Below are 17,473 nucleotides of genomic sequence, written 5' to 3'. Positions count from 1 at the left end.
AAATGTATCAGCAATGATATAATTAAGATTTTAATTAACTCATAAATTTTTTTCAAATTAAAAATTCTCAAACCTATGTTAGCATTCCAATTGAGGTATAATTTCTTCTGAATTTAAAAATCAGTTTTAAAATGAATTTAGATATTCTAAACCTGAGGGGGAAAAAATCTTTTTTTTTCCATAAAATACATTTTACAAATTCTTCAAATTGAAATAAGAAGTCCTTTTAAATTTAAGGGGAGGTTTGTTATTTTTATCTGAAACTTATTTATATTCATAGAGTTCCTGAAATAAATACTTCTCAAATAATTTGGTGAAAATTTTTCTGACACTTAAAAAAACAAAAAGATGTGAAATTGTGGTCAGTGGAATGCAACAGATGTATATGAACTTATTTTTAAGCTGAAAAACAAATGGAGGCTTAGTAAGTAAAATATCTGTAATTTTGTCAATACTTTGTCTTTGCATTGGATAGAACAAATATAAAATGTTAACCAAAGAAATATACATTTTACAAGACTTATGTAGTTATAAGTAGGTTATAAAATTAACCTATAATAATTTTTTAACAAGAAGCTAAGTACTGGAGGTAGCTTCTTTGTATAAATGTTATTATTTCTAGAAATAGATAAAAATTAAGTGGTTAGAAGTGTTGGATGAACCTGGAGACAAATACTTCATAACTTCCAGTAATATTCCCATATAATGGAACTATGATCTATCTATCTGATCCATACTGGAGGTAGCTTCTTTGTATAAATGTTACTATTTCTAGAAATTGATAAAAATTAAATGGTTAGAAGTGTTGGATGAACCTGGAGACAAATACTTCATAACTTCCAGTAATATTCCCATATAATGGAACTATGATCTATCTATCTGATCCAATTACCACACATTTATATCTTTACATTCAGAGAAAGCACAAGCAGAAAGACACACTTAAGGTTTTCCAAACAATGTGTGGTGAAATTGTTAAAGTTCTGATTTCCCAAAATTGTCAGTAACTATCCTGTTAACAGCAACAAACGGGAACTAGTCACACTACATTAAGTTCACATTTAAAACAGGAAAGCATCATTCTTTCTCAACATAGTATAACTGATTTAAAAGCATTAACAAAATATGGGACAGGTAAATATCTCCATGTGGAGTCACCAAGGTAGTCATTGTACCCCAGGTTTTTTTTGAATAATTGGTTTATATGGGTATTTGCTTACATAGATTGGATTCTGAATTTTTTTTTCTTTCAAGCTGAAGCTGTTTTCGTTCACACTTGGGGTCCTCCATCTGTCGATAAAGCCTGTTAGCTCACCACCTCACTGGCTCCGAGGTGCTAGTTTTCCATCTGGTAAAGCCCTAAAGGGAACCCCAGAGTCAGGGAAGCGTGAATCCTGTGGGTGCTCTCAACTCTAGGGCTTATGTCCCCAAAGGGATGGGGTCTTTTTGACAGTCAGCAAGTGTTTAGAAGCAATACAATTGGAACCTGCTCATGGCTTCTTCTAGACCAAAAGACAGCTAGTGGCAGTCCAGGCAAGGCACTGGACTAAGCTGTTAAATGAAAAAGATCAGCTTCTGGTATCCTCCCACTTTCCTTTTCTGGCCCCTTTCTCCTTTCTTGGCCTACATTTCTTTATTAACTAATTAAGAAGGACTCTTCATATAGATAGTTACAAACTGTCTCACAATGCTATGTGATAAATTAAAATTAGTTAGGAAATTGGGATAAAAATAACTGGTAAAAAAAGATCCTTTAGCCTTACTAGAATTCAGTCATAAACTGAATACTGAGTACCTTAGTAGTTTGTTCAAAGAGAAAACGTACATGATTAATGGTGTTCATAACATTTTAAAAAATAATCAATTGATATGAAAAAAACCCAGACATTCCTAGCACTGAGATTTGAAAGAAATTATTTTCATGTATTCTTATTAAAAGGTCACTGCATGGAGTAGAGAATGCACCCTTAACAATATCATCTAGGAACTACAAGTTTTATGGGGCTATTGTTAATAATGGCACTCAGTAAACTAATAGCAATGCTTTGGAATATAGCTGAACAAAAGCAAAGCAATGTGGTCTAAATTCACTGCTTTCTATTGTCAGCATGAACCCAAAAACAAAGGTGTCTGTGAGTTTGAATTTATACTGTCTGCAAAGTACCTGACTGTAGTTCTTTTTCTTGGCCAATTAAGCGTAGACCATATGCCCTGATAGTCATTCATCCTGGAATTAGGGTTGAGATTTTAGAAAATATGAAAAGACTAACTAGACATTTGCTTAAATAGAAAGCCACTGAACTTCTTGAGAATGTGCCAAGGGGCAAATTGATGGCTGCTTACAAGACTGAAACTTTACTCAAATAATTAACAATTCTGGATTTAATCCAGAGAGAGAGAGATAATTGGTAATAAAAAGCCCCAATTTTCTACAGCAAAGGATAACCTCGAAATCATTTTAGGCAGGGAAGATTTTGAAGAAACATCACCTCACATGAAGACTTGTTTTATTTATTGGTTTTGCGGTCTTATCTTTTCTGGCAAAGTGTTCTTGAAGAAAACAACTTAGTCTTACTGACACAAAAGATTGCAGTTTCCATTATGTTTCTCAGCTCTGTGTTCTTCTGCACTGGTTTCAGCTTCAGGTAGACTTCCCCATTTTGACAAGATGACAGATTCCCCAAGTGACAGTCCCTGAGAAACAAGATGACCACCAGACATCCCAGAAATATATTCTACCAATTTATCTACCCCAAGTAAAAGAGAGTGCATCTTCCTTAACCATAATAGCAAAAGTTATGGGCCTGTTTCTAATTGTTTCAATTTAAATCAAATTCCCATCATGAGCCAACCACAGTGGCCAGATGGATACAGTACACTGTTAGCAGTTCTGGATCATGTGGGGGAATAGAGTGCAGGAAAAGGTAATTTTATCTAAATTTTATATACCAGAGGCAAACTATAGTCCACAAGTAGGCTACCAGGTTATGAAAATAAAGACTTGTTGAAAAGTATTGCCATGTATATATTTGTTTGTGAATAGTCTGTGGTTGCTTTCAGGGTACAATAGCAGAGTTGAATAGTTGCAACCAAAACCATGGCCTGAAAAGCCTCAACTGTTTACTCTCTGACCCTTTAAGAAAAAATTTTCTAACCCCTTACATAAACCAAAAATGGGAATGAGTGGTTGTCAAAAGAAAAACAAGGGATTCCTTTTTTAAAAAAATGAGTAAAATAAATGCTATACAGACAAAATCAATATATACCTCCAAGACAAAATGGTTACAAAAGATATGGTCACATAGCTAAATTAGTAGAGGTGATTTTGGAGGCCATCTTAAAAAATGGTATTTGATTTTCAAAAATTGTCTTCTACAGTCACTTTAATTGACAGTACAGTCATTCTGTATACACATGGAAAGGTGGCTAGCTTTCTGTTCTCAAGAGAAGGGGCAGAGATAATGAAACACTTGAATCCAACTCACATCAAGTAATATCAAGGCATTGACATACAAGTTAAAAAACAGGAAAAAAAAACTTAGCTAATAATGACTAAGGCCAGGTGATGATAGCTTAGACACGTGGCAGACATTGTACTAGGTACTTATTATATATTTTCTCATCTAATCCCCACCATCAACTTTATGAGGTAGATATTATTATAACCATTTTACAGAATAAGCTAAAATAGGACAAAGAATTTTCCTGGGCCATAAAAGTTAGCAGTAGAACTAGTATCTGAATCCATGTTTTTTCTTACTCTATTATACTGTTTTCCCTGTGAAAAATAAATAATAATTTGTGGTGAGGCAAACAGAGCATGACTCAATCTAGAGTTGACTGTTCTAGTGCTATGCTCAGTTTTATCCCCATGGCAGTTGTCAAGCATTCAAGGAATGTTGGGGCTGTCAAATATTATACAAAGGTCTCTTTAACAGATGTTATCCCTCATGAACAAATTCTCATTTCATATGATATGCCAGGAACCTAAAGGATTTGGGAGTTTACATGATTCATTTGGCTCACAACATAGTAGTAACCTAAACAAGTGGATAGAGAACTTGATTGAGAGACCAAAGAACTGGATTCTATTCCTGGCTTTCCCAGGTATCTGCTGCATAAATGTGAAAGCCAACAAACTATTGTTTTTAACATGTGGATGAAGCTTTATGTGCTTCTGAAGAATGCTGTGAGCATTAACATAGGAAAGAAACTTGGGTTGTTATGGAAGGCATTATGTGTTTCAATGCCATGCCACAACATTTTAGAAAGAAAACACAACTAGGGAGAGTTGTGGAAAAGGGAACAGTTGTTTTGGAGCTAAAGAAAAATTTTCAAATGTATAATCATTATTTTGATGATTTAAAAAAAACTTTTATTATGGAAATTTTCAAACATACACAAAAGCAGAGAAGAATTATTTATACCATGTACTTAGTCCCAGTTTAGGCAACTATCAATATGTGTCCAATCTTGTTTTATCTAAACCTCAACAATACTGTGCCCAGTGTGGATTATTCAAACAAACCTCAGACATCATATCATTTCATCCATAAATTCTTCAAAAACATTTATCCAAAAGATAAGAAATCTGTTAGAAAGCACACAGAGTTGTAATAGCATTATCATAATCTTAAAAATTAATAAATTTTTAATGTCACTAAATATTCATGTATTGGTCAAACATCTCATTATGTCATATATATTATTTCATATATATGTGTATATACATATATGTGTGTATGCATATATATATATGAATGATTTGTCCTAGAAAATGTTCCATATTCAGGATTTTTGCCGAATGCATCCCCATGGTGTTATTACAAGTTCCTTTTTGCCTTGTATTTCCTGTAAACTGGTGGTGGATCTAGAAGCTTGGTCACATTTAGGTTTCATTATTTTTGACAATAATAAAACATATAAATTATATGTTTTGTCTCCCTACTGTATCTCATTAGGATGCACATATTATCTAATTGTCCCTTTTTTATGCTAAAAAGATTAATACTTTCAGCTGTGGTCCACCTGACTCCTCCACTAGAAAATGTGGGACTCCTTTTAGGGATTCATATAATTTTTCAAGGTATAAGTTGGCACAGTTTCAAAAAGGACCAATACCTTTTTGGAAAAGGCTGTGTCCCTGCTACCAGCTATGCTGTTTTGCAATCTATTGACACAGGATTTTGTTGTGAGGATTCTGAAGTGAGAGGATAAAAAATTCTGAGGTTTTCCAGTGTAACTAGGGAGGACAACTTTCTCTGAAATATCCTTTTTAGTATTGTAAAGAAATTAAAGGCCAATCCAGTACCTCTTCCACTAGCAGTTTCCTCTCTTCCCAATCTTCTCCCTCATTGTTTCACCAGGGGAAAATTGCTAATTCTACCTATTTATTAGACTATCACTCTGCCAAACCAGTAGGTTTCTTTCTTCTAGAATAACAAACCGTTTCCAAGAATTAGTCTTTCTTGAAAAAGTATTGAAGAAGCCATTTAAATTACTGGCCCCAATTGCTCTCTATGTCAGTTTGTCTGTTGAAACACATTTCTGGAACATTTAATATGTATAGGCATTGTACTAAACTCTGACAACACAGATACATTCCTACTCTCATGAAGTGTTTTAGAGAAGATACACATTAAATAAGAAGATAAACAAAATGTGCAAAGTGTTGATAAGAAAGTAAAGGTCTTATGATAATATTGAACAGGGGGCTCTAATAAAATTTTGGGAGTCAAGGAAGGTTTTTTTAGGATAGCTAATTCCAATGGGAGAGTAGAACTATGGATCTGGGGCTATTAAATAATTTTCCAGTTCCAAATGAGTCTCAAAGTTCTTGAGCACTTTCTCTGTTAAGAGTATCGTCTCACATGGCCTTAATATTCAGGACCAGAAGAATTGATATTAAACAACAGATAAGAAAGCAAAAAAAACTCCTTTAGTTATTACTGCAAATGAATCTAACAAACAAGGCCAATGTCAGGGCAGCAGTCTCTGTTGTGAACTTCAAAATGACACTCTGATCTGTCTGATAATTTCTTCACAAAAAGACCAACCTCATTTTTAGCTATCTTTCATAAGCAACTCTCATAGTACTTATGCATTTATGTGCTTGTGTGAGGTTTCTTTTGTAGGAATCAAAAATTAGGAGATAAATGTGGACATAGATTCAATGCTAAAAGACTTTATATAAAATCTTTTTATTTATTTATTTATTATTATACTTTAAGTTTTAGGGTACATGTGCACAATGTGCAGGTTAGTTACATATGTATACATGTGCCATGCTGGTGTGCTGCACCCACTAACTCGTCATCTAGCATTAGGTATATCTCCCAATGCTATCCCTCCCCTCTCCCCCCACCCCACAACAGTCCCCAGAGTGTGATATTCCCCTTCCTGTGTCCATGTGTTCTCATTGTTCAATTCCCACCTATGAGTGAGAATATGCGGTGTTTGGTTTTTTGTTCTTGCGATAGTTTACTGTGGAACCAACCCAAATGTCCAACAATGATAGACTGGATTAAGAAAATGTGGCACATATACACCATGGAATACTATGCAGCCATAAAAAATGATGAGTTCATGTCCTTTGTAGGGACATAGATGAAATTGGAAATCATCATTCTCAGTAAACTGTCGAAAGAATAAAATCTTTTTAAAAATCCATAAAGATACAATAGAAAATATAGACTAGGTACCAATAAATGTGGCAGCATCTTGATTTGTTTCACAGTTAGACTTTCCATTGGCAGAATAGTATAATGGTTAAGAGCAAGTGGGAGGACCTGAGTTCAAATTTCAGCTCTCCTATTTAGAAGCCCCATGACCTCAAGGCAGTCATATAATATCTCTATGCCCCACTTCTATCTTGTGACAAGGCATAATAGTAGCCTCTCTAAAGAGGTGAAGTGATGCTTAAACAATATGGCACACACAAAGAACTCAATATCATACCAGGCACATAGCAAAAATTTACTAAATGTTAGATATTATTATTATTAAATACAGACCAATGGATCACTGAAACCCTCAAAGCTGGATCCAGTGGTGAGTAAAAGCAGAGTGAAAGTGAGTGTAGGTCTAATACTCAAAAACATTTTTATGAATTCATTGACTAATCTTAACTCGTGTGTATCTAAGATGATGTTGAGCAGGTTACTTAACCTCTTTGAAACTAATTTTCTCATCTATATAATACATACATTAAAATCTACTTTACAAAATAGATACATAGATCAAACAGACAGTCCAGAAATAGTCCCACTTATATAAACTTCATTTATTTTTGACAAAAGAGCAGAGGTATTTTAATTGACAAGGAGAGTCTTCTGAAGAAATAGTACTGGAAAAACTGAATATTCACATGTAAAAGATGAATATCAACTCATATCTCCTGCTATATAAAAAAACCCAAAATGCATCATATATTAAAATGTAAAATATAAAAGTATAGAATTTCTAGAAAGAGACAATAGGAGAAAATCAGTGTAATCATGGATTAGGCAAAGATTTCTTACATATAACACCAAAAGTGCAATTTATATAAGAAAATGTTGCTATATTGGACTTTGTAAAAAAAACTTCTGCACTACGAAAGACACTATTAATAAAGTGAAAAGAAAAGCCATAGACTGGGAGAAAATATTTGTGAATCATATATTTGACAAAAGACTGGTAAGCATATAAAGTAACTAGAATGTTCCTACTTGCTGTGAGACTGAAAAATAGAATGGTTACTTTGGAAAACAGTTTGGTCGTTTTTCACATGTTTGAACAAACATACATACCATATAATTCAGTAATTCTACTAGTAAGTATTTACCTAAGAGAAATAAAAACTGATGTTTATACAAAAAATGGTACATGAATGTTTATAGAAACTGTATTCATAACTGTCCAAAACTAAATACAAACCAAATATTCTCCAAATAGTGGATAAAACACCTGTGATACCTCCATACAATGGGTACTCCTCAGCAATGCAAAGGAATAGACTACTAAGGCACACAGAAACATGGGCAAATCTTAATGCATTACCCTGAATGAAACAATCCAGACACAAAAAGCTACATACAATATAATTCAATTTATGTTCCATTTTTGGAAAAGGCAAAATGTTAGGGACATAAAGTGGGTGAGGGAAGGTATGACTATAAAGAACATAAAGAAATTGTTATTAAAACTGTTCTATATTTTGATTGTGGTGATGGTTACATGACTGTGTGAGCTTGTCAAAACAAATAGAACTGTGCACCAATGAGAATGAATTTTAATGTACATAAATGATATCATAATAAAATAATTTCCAAATTCTTAAAAACAAAAATTCTTTAGTGGTCAGAGTTGTATGGTAGCTGTAATAACAGTACTAGTATTAGTGTTGGAAAATCCTGTCAAAAATTAACAATATTTCCCCAAAGTTTTCTTTTATGTAATTAATACAATACTCAGGCCAGAAAACAAACAAACAAAATGACCTTATGAGAATGTTCAAAAATTAAATGAGAGGGCAGCCAGCCAGCACCCCAGTGGACTCTATCAACAGGCATTGAGCAATAGGCACACAGTAAACGGCAGCTGTTGTTACTGGTTTGCAAGGCCTTTTATTAATTTTACCATAAACCACAAGATGGAAAAGACAACTAATACAGACACAGTTAAGTTCCAGAAGACTTCTGGACTTCAAATGATGGACTAAAACCAGCATAAATTTACATAAAAAGAAACGAAATACCTACATATTTTCATAACTCAATGAGCCAAATGCATGATAGAAGTGACTTGTTTTTATGGCAATTAATATGAGGAAGAGCAGGGAGTTTTTTGCTGAGAACAAGATCAGTGTGAGTCAGTGGGATGGCCTTGTTACTTAAAGAAAACATAGGCTGCATTATTTAAAACATTCTCAATTTAAGGGAAAAATTTTTCACAACTCTCCACACTCAGCAGGCCTCACCTAAAAAACAGTGTCCATCTCTATACCAGATTTTACTAGGGACACTGAAGAGTTGGACGGGGCATTTGGATAAATGTAACCAAAGTGAAACCATCATCTCCTTCTTCATGCAACATCCTCTTCTCCTTGGTTTCTGGGACACCACTGTCTTCATAACCCTCATATTCCTGAATGACTCCTCTTAGTCTCCTTTGGCTGCTGGTAGGCTTACAAAATCCATCCTTCACTTCTTCAATAGAAGTCAAGATTTAGCTGGGCAGTGATGATGAGCATTTTTTCATGTGTCTGTTGGCTGCATAAATGTCTTCTTTTGAGAAGTGTCTGTTCATGTCCTTTGCCCACTTGTTGATGGGGTTGTTCGTTTTGTGCTTGTAAATTTGTTTGAGTTCTTTGTAGATTCTGGATATTAGCCTTTTGTCAGATGAGTAGATTGCAAAAATTTTCTCCTATTCTGTAGGTTTCCTGTTCACTCTGATGGTAAAATGAAAAAATGCTTGTCATCACTGGCCATCAGAGAAATGCAAATCAAAACCACAATGAGATACCATCTCACACCAGTCAGAATGGCGATCATTAAAAAGTCAGGAAACAACAGGTGCTGGAGAGGATGTGGAGAAATAGGAACACTTTTACACTGTTGGTGGGACTGTAAACTAGTTCAACCATTGTGAAAGACAGTGTGGCGATTCCTCAGGGATCTAGAACTAGAAATACCATTTGACCCAGCCATCCCATTACTGGGTATATACCCAAAAGAATATAAATCATGCTGCTATAAAGACTCATGCATACGTATGTTTACTGCGGCAATACTCACAATAGCAAAGACTTGGAACCAACCCAAATGTCCAACAATGATAGACTGGATTAAGAAAATGTGGCACATATACACCATGGAATACTATGCAGCCATAAAAAAGGATGAATTCATGTCCTTTGTAGGGACATGGATGAAGCTGGAAACCAACATTCTCAGCAAACTATTGCAAGGACAAAAAAACAAACACCACATGTTCTCACTCATAGGTGGGAATTGAACAATGAGAACACCTGGACACAGGAAGGGGAACATCACCCACTGGTGCCTGTTGTGGGGTGGGGGGAGGGGGGAGGGATAGCATTAGGAGATATACCTAATGTAAATGACAAGTTAATGGGTGCAGCACACCAACATGGCACGTGTATGCATATGTAACAAACCTGCACGTTGTGCACATGTACCCTAGAACTTAAAGTATAATAAAAAATATATATATTAAAAAGAAAAAGATTTAGCTGGGCATATGGTCACTAAAGCCTCCCTACAGCTAGCTCTGGACGCATGATGATCAGAAGAGATGTGTGCAACTTTCATGCTATTTTCTTAAAAGGAAAGTCCTTGACCTCAACTCTCTCTCTTTCTGCTTCTGTAGATGAAAAGCCAATGAAGATCTGAGACAGCACAACCTAAGGAATGGGGGAACAACAGGATGGAGAACCTGGGTCCATGAATGATCTCATGGAGCAGAGCTGCTTACCCATCTTGAAATATGTGGCATTCACTTAGTGTTCAAGAATTTAGTGGCAAAACACACACTCACACTCACACACACACACTCTTACACATGCAGATTTTGAAATTTGGAAAGCTGATAACTCTGGTGATGCTATGGTAAAATATTCCATAAAACTGACATGAGCTAACTTGGGAAGGATATAACTTTTCCACAGAATCTATAGTATGGGGGCAAACCATTGAAAAGGGCAGAATGTGTGTGTTGACAGTTGCTTGATATTTTTATAAGATGCTATAAGACAGAGATGGATTGACAATTGACCAGTTTGCCGGCAGCTTTTTAACGGGAGATCCCCCTATGCCTGCAGCCTATAATCTGTATTAACTAGAAGCAATTAACTTATTCCCCTGCAGATTTGGAAAAGCCAACTACTTCTACTCACCAAAGAGCAGAAAGTAAGACTCCAGACTTAAAGGAAAAGAAGACTTCCCTTTTAACTCACTAAGTCCTCTAGGCCAGAAAATGTGACCTGGCTCAGTGGCAGACATAAGATTAAATGTGTTGCTTCTTCTCTTAAACCCATAATTTTAAGTGGTGTCAAATTACCACTGCTGTAATTTTACCCACAAACTTGATACCAACTCTGATTACGCCATGCTCTCTCCACTGCCTGATCCTTGTTCAAGTTACCATCATCTCTTGCCAAGAATATTAAAAGAGCTTTAAAACTGAATGTCCTGCATCCACACTTGCCATTCAGTGCTTGGCACCTCAGCCACAGTGACACTTTACGTAAGGTAAAATGTAATCCATCCGTTTAAAAAAATCACAGCTCTTAAAGTAAGTGTATTTCGCTAAAATTTAAAACAGTTTATGAGGTCCTGCAAGGTCCAGCCCCCAACCACCACCCCTCTAGCATACTTTTTAATAAACTTATTTTTTTAATGGTTTCATATTTACAGGAAAATTGCAAAAACAGTACATAGCTTCCATCTACCCCACATTGAGTTTCCCCTATTTTTAATATCTTACATTAGTATGGTACATTTGTTACAATTAATAAACTAATATTGATATAATATTAGCTAAAGTTTATATTCTGATTTCCTTATTTTTTTTCCTAGTGTCCTCTCACTATTCCAGGATCCCACTCAGCAAACCACCATATATTTTGTTGTCCTATCTCTTAAGCTTCTCTTGACTATGACAAGTGCTCAGAAGTTTCTTGTTTTTCATGATCTTGACAATTTTGAGAAGTACTGGTCGGATCTTTTGTAAACCATCTTTCAGTTTCAATTTGTCTGATATTTTTTGCATGATTAGTCCAGGGCTGTGAATTTTTAGAAAGACTACAGTGGGAAAATGCCATTTTCATCCTATACTAGCAACATGATTGATCACTGTTGACGTTGACCTTGTTCATCTGATCCCAGTATTATTTTGTCCCATTCTTCATCTCTCAAAATTCTATCATATACATTGCTCAGACTCACCACAATCCCTTCATAACATATTGCTCCCTCTCTCTGGAGCACTCACTTCTCCAGCCTCCACTTTCACATTATTAGCACCAAATCACCCCTCTGATCTCTGTTCCTGTCTCTTTCTCAGCAAATACTTCTCAGAAGGCCCCAGTCCAAGTCAGGTTTATATTGTTTGTCTGGTTGGTTGCTTTTTTTGTCTTACATTTTTGTAGAATCATAGAATCATGTTTAGTGTACTTATTTGTTTGCCTTGGTTCAATCATCACGTAATTACGTAACTCTGTTGCTGCCACTAAACTATGAACACCACGTGAGCAAGAACTGTAGATGTTATTGAAGCAGCAACATGAACAGAAAAAGGGCTTATGTTGTTTATACTGAAGATTTTTGAGATTGGTAGTGGATTGAATTTTGTGACTTGCCTCTTGACCCCAGTGACACTAGCAATAGCTAGTGCCTGTAGCAGTGGCCGCCCTTGGAATTATGTCACCTGGAGCCACATCCTTTCAGATTCTTGCCTGCTGAACATGCTTTACCTCTCATTTCACACATATACCTGGTGACTCTTGACTACCGCCCTGTGGTTCTTAGACTTCCAGATCTAGAACCCTGCCATTCATAAATGTATGTGCAACCTCAAAGTGCAGAAGAATTGGTACCCTATGAAGAGTTGTTTGCTTATTTTTACATAAGAAAATACTGAAAGGATAAAACAGAAACTAAAATTGTTATCTACAGTGGCTGAAGTTGAGAGAAATATAGTGAGAGATATAAAAATAAAGTGAGAATTTCTATGCATACTGTCATATATATGTAGACTTTTGAACCATGTAAATCTTTTCACACAAAACATATATTTAGATAAAGGAGCAAACCCCAAAATTGAAAGCAAATAAATCTAACTGTTCATGTACTCAAATCAGTAACATAACCATGCAAAAAAAAAAAATTATTTCAAGTGACTTTTGAGCACAATACTCTGGCTATACCTCCTAGGCGGGATATACTCTAAAAAGAAAAATAGCAACTGGTAGAGAAATCTTTTTTTTTTTTTTTAATTATACTTTAAGTTTTAGGGTACATGTGCACATTGTGCAGGTTAGTTACATATGTATACATGTGCCATGCTGGTGCGCTGAACCCACTAACTCGTCATCTAGCATTAGGTATATCTCCTGGTGCTATCCCTCCCCCCTCCCCCCACCCCACAACAGTCCCCAGAGTGTGATATTCCCCTTCCTGTGTCCATGTGATCTCATTGTTCAATTCCCACCTATGAGTGAGAATATGCGGTGTTTGGTTTTTTGTTCTTGTGATAGTTCACTGAGAATGATGATTTCCAATTTCATCCATGTCCCTACAAAGGACATGAACTCATCATTTTTTATGGCTGCATAGTATTCCATGGTGTATATGTGCCACATTTTCTTAATCCAGTCTATCATTGTTGGACATTTGGGTTGGTTCCAAGTCTTTGCTATTGTGAATAATGCCGCAATAAACATACGTGTGCATGAGTCTTTATAGCAGCATGATTTATAGTCCTTTGGGTATATACCCAGTAAAGGGATGGCTGGGTCAAATGGTATTTCCAGTTCTAGATCCCTGAGGAATCGCCACACTGACTTCCACAATGGTTGAACTAGTTTACAGTCCCACCAACAGTGTAAAAGTGTTCCTATTTCTCCACATCCTCTCCAGCACCTGTTGTTTCCTGACTTTTTAATGATTGCCATTCTAACTGGTGTGAGATGGTATCTCATTGTGGTTTTGATTTGCATTTCTCTGATGGCCAGTGATGATGAGCATTTTTTCATGTGTCTTTTGGCTGCATAGATGTCTTCTTTTGAGAAGTGTCTGTTCATATCCTTCACCCACTTTTTGATGGGGTTGTTTGTTTTTTTCTTGTAAATTTGTTTGAGTTCATTGTAGATTCTGTATATTAGCCCTTTGTCAGATGAGTAGGTTGTGAAAATTTTCTCCCATTTTGTAGGTTGCCTGTTCACTCTGATGGTAGTTTCTTTTGCTGTGCAGAAGCTCTTTAGTTTAATTAGATCCCATTTGTCAATTTTGGCTTTTGTTGCCATTGCTTTTGGTGTTTTAGACATGAAGTCCTTGCCCATGCCTATGTCCTGAATGGTAATGCCTAGGTGTTCTTCTAGGGTTTTTATGGTTTTAGGTCTAACGTTTAAGTCTTTAATCCATCTTGAATTGATTTTTGTATAAGGTGTAAGGAAGGGATCCAGTTTCAGCTTTCTACATATGGCTAGCCAGTTTTCCCAGCACCATTTATTAAATAGAGAATCCTTTCCCCATTGCTTGTTTTTCTCAGGTTTGTCAAAGATCAGATAGTTGTAGATATGTGGCGTTATTTCTGAGGTTTTTTGAAAGGATCAACAAAATTGATAGACCGCTAGCAAGACTAATAAAGAAAAAAAGAGAGAAGAATCAAATAGATGCAATAAAAAATGATAAAGGGGATGTCACCACCGATCCCACAGAAATACAAACTACCATCAGAGAATACTACAAACACCTCTACGCAAATAAACTAGAAAATCTAGAAGAAATGGATACATTCCTGGACACATACACTCTCCCAAGACTAAACCAGGAAGAAGTTGAATCTCTGAATAGACCAATAACAGGAGCTGAAATTGTGGCAATAATCAATAGCTTACCAACCAAAAAGAGTCCAGGACCAGATGGATTCACAGCCAAATTCTACCAGAGGTACAAGGAGGAACTGGTACCATTCCTTCTGAAACTATTCCAATCAATAGAAAAAGAGGGAATCCTCCCTAACTCATTTTATGAGGCCAGCATCATTCTGATACCAAAGCCAGGCAGAGACACAACAAAAAAAGAGAATTTTAGACCAATATCCTTGATGAACATTGATGCAAAAATCCTCAATAAAATACTGGCAAAACGAATCCAGCAGCACATCAAAAAGCTTATCCACTATGATCAAGTGGGCTTCATCCCTGGGATGCAAGGCTGGTTCAATATTCGCAAATCAACAAATGTAATCCAGCATATAAACAGAGCCAAAGACAAAAACCACATGATTATCTCAATAGATGCAGAAAAAGCCTTTGACAAAATTCAACAACCCTTCATGCTAAAAACTCTCAATAAATTAGGTATCGATGGGACGTATTTCAAAATAATAAGAGCTATCTATGACAAACCCACAGCCAATATCATACTGAATGGGCAAAAACTGGAAGCATTCCCTTTGAAAACTGGCACAAGACAGGGATGCCCTCTCTCACCACTCCTATTCAACATAGTGTTGGAAGTTCTGGCCAGGGCAATTAGGCAGGAGAAGGAAATAAAGGGTATTCAATTAGGAAAAGAGGAAGTCAAATTGTCCCTGTTTGCAGATGACATGATTGTATATCTAGAAAACCCCACTGTCTCAGCCCCAAATCTCCTTAAGCTGATAAGCAACTTCAGCAAAGTCTCAGGATACAAAATCAATGTACAAAAATCACAAGCATTCTTATACACTAACAACAGACAAACAGAGAGCCACATCATGAGTGAACTCCCATTCACAATTGCTTCAAAGAGAATAAAATACCCAGGAATCCAACTTACAAGGGATGTGAAGGACCTCTTCAAGGAGAACTACAAACCACTGCTCAAGGAAATAAAAGAGGATACAAACAAATGGAAGAACATTCCATGCTCATGGGTAGGAAGAATCAATATCGTGAAAATGGCCATACTGCCCAAGGTAATTTACAGATTCAATGCCATCCCCATCAAGCTACCAATGACTTTCTTCACAGAATTGGAAAAAACTACTTTAAATTTCATATGGAACCAAAAAAGAGCCCACATCGCCAAGTCAATCCTACGCCAAAAGAACAAAGCTGGAGGCATCACACTACCTGACTTCAAACTATACTGCAAGGCTACAGTAACCAAAACAGCATGGTACTGGTACCAAAACAGAGATATTGATCAGTGGAACAGAACAGAGCCCTCAGAAGTAGAGAAATCTTAAACTTGATTTAGATACAATATTGGTGTTGTAATTTAGAAAATATTTTATGCGTATTATAGAAAAATGCAATTAAACAAATTAATACTATTAGGTACCAAGACTTTCAGACATTCAGCATAAAGATTATATATAATCACATATATTATTTATATATATCTTAAAAGTTAAGAAAATCCTATATTACATTTGAAATGTAACTATTCATAGAAATTCAACACACACACACACACACACACACACACACACAGACACACACACGCACACAAACCTATTCCATTGAAAAGTCACAGAAAGCCCAGCACAGTGGCTCATGTCTGTAATCCCAGCACTTTGGGAGGCCAAGGCGGGTGGATCACTTGGGGTCAGGACCTCCAGATCAGCCTGGCCAATATGGCGAAACGCCGTCTCTACTAAAAATACAAAAATTAGCCGGGCGTAGTGGCGCCTGCCTGTAATCTTGGCTACTAGGGAGGCTGAGGCAGGAGAATCACTTGAACCCAGGAAGCGGAGGTTACAGTGAGCCGAGATCGTGCCACTGCATTCCAGTCTGGGTGATAGAATGAGACTCCGTCTCAAAAAAAGTCACAGAAGTAATGACAGTCTTGTAGCAGTGAGCATGCTAGCCCAGATCTTACTCCTAGGCTTCTTGGGACAATGGCTGACTTCGCACATAGGACAAGAAAGTACAAGGTGAGCTCAAAATAGTTTATTATGTTAGAAAGCAAAGCAAGGCTCAAAAACTAATGAAATATTGGTTGGATATGGTTTGATATTTGGGGACAGTTGGAGAAACTTGAACATAGACCAGATATTATCGTTAATTTGCTGCTACTATTATGCTTATGTAGGAGAATGGTTTATTTTAAAGGAATATATGTTGAAAATATTCATTCAGGGATGAAGTGTTGTGATACATGTGACTTACTTCCAAATGGTTCAGAAAAAATGTATATATACATATAAATACAAAGTAATATAGCAAAATATTTATAATGACTGAATGTGAAATGGAGGTATATATGTGATCATTGTATTAGTCTTTCAACTTTTCAGTTTGTTTGGCATTTCTATATTTAAGAGTTGAAAAAAATGTCAATGCATATCATATAGCACAAATAACAGGAAATCAAGCTTATGTTTCCCCTAAGGTCCATTTTAGTCCTTCGATTCTAGAATCACAGAAAAGGAGATTGAGAATAGTGGTTACGGATAATAAAAGAAAAATGGAGGGATTAAAAAACAGCTTTCTATAAGCCAATATCATAACAGCTTGCTCATTAGATCAGTGTGATTACTTCTTTATTAGGCCTTATTTGAGCTGTCATCTGGTATCAATTAGGTCAGTTATAGTCTGTCAGGTCTACTGGAGGGAAATGGAGCAAGGTCCATCATGGTGAGGATGGCATAATTAAAGCAATGGAAATAATGACTACTCTTCATTTAACCCTCATCCAATCGACCAAGCTCATATTGGCCTTCCACTCATATTGAATGCTAAAGATGTGGAAGGAGAGAA

General features: G+C 36.0%; 1 protein-coding gene and 1 long non-coding RNA gene across 3 annotated transcripts in view; one reads left to right on the top strand and one right to left on the bottom strand.

Moving 5' to 3' along the window:
• LINC01088 (long intergenic non-protein coding RNA 1088) overlaps positions 1-17,473 on the bottom strand; it is a 337,052-nt gene that overhangs the window by 72,158 nt on the left and 247,421 nt on the right. The gene's annotated exons all lie outside the window — the stretch shown is intronic.
• Positions 1-17,473, top strand: part of NAA11 (N-alpha-acetyltransferase 11, NatA catalytic subunit) — a 170,686-nt gene that overhangs the window by 89,420 nt on the left and 63,793 nt on the right. Inside the window, exon 2 of one of the 2 annotated variants that reach the window (XM_017008778.3) lies at positions 10,372-11,539. The exons of the other annotated variant lie outside the window; for it this stretch is intronic. The gene's annotated coding sequence lies outside the window, so the exon portion shown is untranslated. Of the gene's footprint in view, positions 1-10,371; positions 11,540-17,473 lie in introns of those variants that run through there. 2 annotated transcript variants of the gene reach the window in all.

Source organism: Homo sapiens, chromosome 4, assembly GCF_000001405.40.
Source record: "Homo sapiens chromosome 4, GRCh38.p14 Primary Assembly".
In the NCBI taxonomy this organism is placed as follows: Eukaryota; Metazoa; Chordata; class Mammalia; order Primates; family Hominidae; genus Homo; species Homo sapiens.
Note: the sequence above shows the minus strand (reverse complement) of the source record. Positions and strands in the feature narration are given on the sequence as shown.